General features: G+C 41.6%; 1 annotated feature.

Annotated features, from left to right (window-relative positions):
* Nucleotides 3,688-4,217: an enhancer, noted in NCBI's record as "H3K27ac-H3K4me1 hESC enhancer chr10:118405699-118406228 (GRCh37/hg19 assembly coordinates)". NCBI's record gives its function as "activates a minimal SCP1, AML or CMV promoter by ChIP-STARR-seq in naive H9 embryonic stem cells {active_cell/tissue: H9 hESC(naive)}" and the evidence as "EXISTENCE:reporter gene assay evidence [ECO:0000049][PMID:30033119]".

Genomic DNA, 5,261 nt, shown 5'->3' with positions numbered 1-5,261 from the left:
AAAGCAATCTTAGGCAAAAAGAAAAAAGCTGGAGGCATTACACTACCTGACTTCAAACCATACTACAAGGCTACAGTAACCCAAACAGCATGGTACTGGTACAAAAACATACATATAGACCAATGGAACAAGATGGAGAACCCAGAAATAAAGCCACACACCTACAACCACCTGATCTTCAACAATTGACAACAACAAGAAGTAGGGAAAGAACTCCCTACTCAATAAATGGTGCTGGGATAACTGGCTAGCCACAGGCAGAAGATTGAAACTGGACACCCTTTTTTCAGCATACACAAAAATTAGCTCAAGATGGATTAAAGACTTAAATGCAAGATCTAAAACTTAAAAAAAAAACTCTAGAAGAAATCCTAGGAAATCCATTCTGGGCATTGGCCTTGGCAAATAATTTATGACTAAGTCCCTAAAAGCATTTTTGACAAAAACAGAAACTGACAAGTGGGTAACTTAAAGAGCTTCTGTACAGTAAAAGAAACTGTCATGAGAGTAAACAGACAACCTATGGAATGGAGAAAATATTCACAAACTATGTATCTGACAAAGGTCTAATATTCAGAATCTATAAGTAACCTAAACAATTCAACAAACAAAAACCAAATAACCCCATTTTAAAAAATGGGCAAAGGACATGAACAGACACTTCTCCAAAGAAGATATATATGTGGCCAACAAAAATATGAGAAAATGCTCACCATCACTAATCATTACAGAAATGCAAATAAAAACCACAGTCAAATACCATCTCACACCAGTCAGAATCGCTATTACTAAAAAGTCAAAAAACAACAGATATTGGTGAGGTTGTGGAGAAAAGGGAACACTTATACACTGCTGGTAGGAATGTAAGTTAGTTCAGCCACTGTGGAAAGCAGTGTGTAGCTTCCTCTAGGAACTTAAAACAGAATTACCATTTGACCCAGTATTTGGTATATATCCCCCCCAAAATAAATCATTTTACCAAAAAGACACATGCACTCATATGTTCATTGCTGCACTATTCACAATAGCAAAGACATGGAATCAACCTAGATGTCCATCAGTGGTGGACTGGATAAAGAAAATGTGGTACCTATACACCATGGAATACTATGCAGCCATAAAAAGGAATGAAATCATGTCCTTTGAAGCAACATGAATGCAATGCACCTGGGGGCCATTATCCTAACGAATAACGAATAAGATAACGAATACAGAAACAGAAAACCAAATACTGTGTGTTCTCACTTATAAGCAGGAGCTAAATGCTGAATACGCATGGACACAAAAATGGAAACAATAGACGCTGGGGACTACTTGAGGGAGAAGAGTGGGGAGGGTTGAAAAACTATCTATCAGGTACTATGCTCGCTCCCAGGATGACGAAGGATTCTAAATGGCCTTGTAGGTCATGTTTTGATATCTTGTAGCACATAGGTGGTGAGTAATAGTATTTTGTAAATAGAAATGTACGTAAGTCATAATTTCTGTATCTAAATGATATATCTTCCTGACACTTGCTTTTGTCCTCAACAGGACATTTTGGGGATCTACACATGTTGATACATATGGATCCTAGTTCATTCTTTTTCATTGATGAAGGCATATTTTGGATAATCTGACAAGTGTGAATGTTATTTTGTTGGTTTCATTTGTATTCCCCTGATTACTAGTGAGGTTAAATCTCAAGCTTTTTAAATTCAGTTTTCCTGTGTGTGAATTGCATGTTTGTGACCTCTGTCCATTTTTCTGTTGGGTTGTCCTTTTATGTATTCTGAATACGAATCTTTAGTTGCATCCACTTAAAATTGCTTCTCTGAGGCTACGACCTGTCTTAGCTCTTTGTCATTGGTATCTGTTACTCTTAAAGAATAACTCATGCCAGCCAGCCCTTCCTTCTTTTTCTTCTTCTTTTTTTTTTTTTAGACCGAGTCTCCCTCTGCTGCCCAAGCTGGAGTGCAGTAGCTTGACCTCGGCTCACTGCAGCCTCCGCCTTCCAGGTTCAAGTGATTCTCCTGCCTCAGCCTCCCGAGTAGCTGGGATTATAGGTGTGCACCACCATGCTCCGCTAATTTTTTCTTTGTATTCTTAGTAGAGACAGGGTTTCACCGTCTTGGCCAGGTCTCGAACTCCTGACCTCAGATGATCCAGCCGCTTCAGCCTCCCAACCTTCCTCATTTAATGACAGTTTATTATGTGCCAAGCACTGTCCTAAGCGCTTTGCGTTTCTTATCTTATGTAATTCTACTAGCCACCCTGTATGGCAGGGCTACTATTATTCTCCAGTAAGTGTTGAGGTCAGAGAAGTTAAGCAGCCAGCCCAGGGAGTCCAGGTAGAAGGAAATGAAGCCGCAATGAATGCAAGGCCAGCTCAGCTTTACTGCAGAGCTGAGCAATTAGGCCCTATATCACACTATGGGGATTTATATGAGTAAAGATAGAAAGTGTCATTACCACCTCTTAGATGGGATCATACCTGGTGGTTCTGAACTGTGGCTGTAAATCGTCCAGGGAGCTTTAAGAATACCGGTGACCCACCCCAAAATTGTGGTTGGTCTAGGATATATCCTGGACATGGGATTGTCTTTTGCTTTTGTTTTCTTTCTTTCTTTTGAAGAGATGGGGCCTCACTCTGTTGCCCAGGCTGGTCTCAAATTCCTGGCTTCAGGTGATCCTCTCGTCTCAGCCTCCTGAGTAGCTGGGATTACAGGTTTCTTTTAAAGCTCCACAGTAATTCTAATACACGGCCAGGGCTGATAACTTCTACAGTTTGTAGTTTTATTGAGATCTAAAACATCTGGTAGGTCTCAGACAAGGACCTATTTCATTGCACCAGGCTAAGATTTTAAATGCTGTATAGGGGCCGGGCACAGTGGCTCACACCTGTAATCCCAGGAGTTTGGGAGGCCGAGGTGGGTGGATCACTTGAGGTCAGGAGTTCAAGACCAGCCTGGCCAACATGGTGAAATCTGTCTCTACTAAAAATAAAAAAATTAGCTGGGCATGGTGGTGGATGCCTACTCGGGAAGCTGACAGGCAGGAGAATCGCGTGAAGCCAGGAGGCGGAGGTTGCATGCAGTGAGCCGAGATCGCGCCACTGCACTCCAGCCTGGGTGACAGAGCGAGACTCCATCCCCAAAAAAATAAAAAATAAAAACAAATAAATGCTGTATAGGGTTTTAAGAAAAAGAATTTAGAAAATACAAAGAAAATAAAAGCAAAAAGGACGAAGGAAACAAAAAAATCCCAAGACATTGAACTCAAGGACTTCAGTTCTGTTTGCATTAGAGGCCTCCCCTTAAAGGGAAGAGAGAGCTCCTTTACCCCTATTCTCCAAATCTCAGTGGAAGGAAGAATTACGTGCAATTCTCCTGAAGCAACAGCCACTGCTGTCATGATGCCATTTTCTCAATCTGCTAGATGAAGCCATTTCAGGATTCTAAGAATTGAACAGTGAATAACCCCACCCTGGCGCAACGGGTGCACCTACAGTACAACCCCCAGGCCCTGAAAGCAACACCCTCTACCTGGCACCAGCCCATTTACTCTCTGGGGTGCCCAGGCAGTTCTGCTGGGGGCAAATGGGAAGTGGTGCATGGTCAGGAGGCCAGGCTTCCACGGCTGCGCTCCACACGGGCCCCAGCAGCTTTGTTGAGGAGGTCCTTGGCCCCCCCAAATCTGGGCATAGCCTCAAAAAAAGACCACACAGGCTGGTGGCCAGTATCAGGCTCAGGAAGGAGATATGAAAACCCAGGCCTGGCTGCCTCATCTGCCTCTGACCAGTGTGAGTTCAGGTGGTTGGAGCCCTCCGGGAAGCCACTGGGGTGATGGGGACCTGCAGAACCCTTTAAGTATGAGCTGCGCACAGGGCAGACAGGTACAGGCCCTGTGAGCAGCTGCCCCAGGCCCTCCTGCTGCCGTTCTTTTTCCTCCCTGGGTAGAGGATAGATTGAGCAAAATATTCGCATATGATGGAATATTCCAGTTTTCCTAATATTAAAGAGCTGTTTAAAGTGAAAACTGTATTAAAAAGATGCCTAAAATTGGCAAAGAATTTGGATAATTCACAGAGGAAGAAATACCAAGAGCCCATTAAATACTGAAACCTCACTCATAATAAAATAAAGCAAATTACAATGTAAGGAAACACACTTTCACCTATCAAATTGGCAAAAGATTTGACAATACCCATGTTGGTAAGAGTGTGAAACGCTCTCATATTAGAATGAATCACATGAAATTGTCAACATTTGGCTTTTCTGGCCTTTAAAACTGTAATTGCCTATGGTTCAACCTACTATGTTGTTCGTTGAATAAATTGATACAATCGCTATAGAGAGCAATTTGGCAATATTGGTCAAAATAAACATATTCCAAATATTTATTGATCAGCTATATAATGTAGAATATATCATGAAAGGATATTAATTGCATGAATATTTATAATAGAAAATAGTCCAACCATACATACCATGTACATCTCTCAGTGGAATCTATGAAGCTATATGAAGAATGGAGAAACTCTTCCTGTACCATTAGAGACGAATATGCAACTTATTGTTAGTGAAAAATGCAAGATGTGGAACAGTGTGTACAGTATTCTATCATCTGTGCTTAGACAAAAAGGGTGTGGCAGGGTTGAGTGTGTAAAATAGATATATCCATAAGGATATATGGACTATTTCTTGAAAAAACCCAGGTTGTCTCTAGGAAGAAGAACTGAGAGACTTGAAGGCAAGGGGGAAAGAGATTCTCCTTTCATAAGAATACTTTTCTGTATCATTTGAATTTTGTAACATGTGCATGCATTAACTTTTTTTTTTTTTTTAAAAAAAGCCCCGCTGTCTCCATGCCGCAGGTGGATTTTAATCAAAATCATCAGAGTTTGGAGTTACACCTGCCACAAAATGCGGCAATATCTCGGGATTTTTGTTTCATTCTCCTTTTTTGCTTTTCTTCTCTTTGTATTTTCTGAATGCTTATGTGGTGTCTACCTTGTGTCCCTAGGATGTTAAAAGCTGGTTGGGCAGCAAGCGAGAGCAACAATGACCTTTACAAATAGGACAGAAGTTCATTGTCTAAGGAAATAAAATCCGCTGGAATGGGCCACCTAAAGTGCCTGGAAAGAGAGAGATGGTGGCAGAGGTAAGTGGGTGAGAAGTTCCAGGCATCACCTGTGGCAAACTTGGCTCCAATCCCCCAAATCATTTCTGAAATGCGAACCCAGAAAGTAGAGAATGTCAAACTAACAGCTCACCCTCAAA

The sequence above is a fragment of the Homo sapiens genome, chromosome 10, assembly GCF_000001405.40.
Source record: "Homo sapiens chromosome 10, GRCh38.p14 Primary Assembly".
NCBI classification, from domain to species: Eukaryota; Metazoa; Chordata; class Mammalia; order Primates; family Hominidae; genus Homo; species Homo sapiens.
The sequence above is the reverse complement of the archived record's forward strand: the minus strand, read 5'-3'. Positions and strand labels throughout refer to the sequence as shown.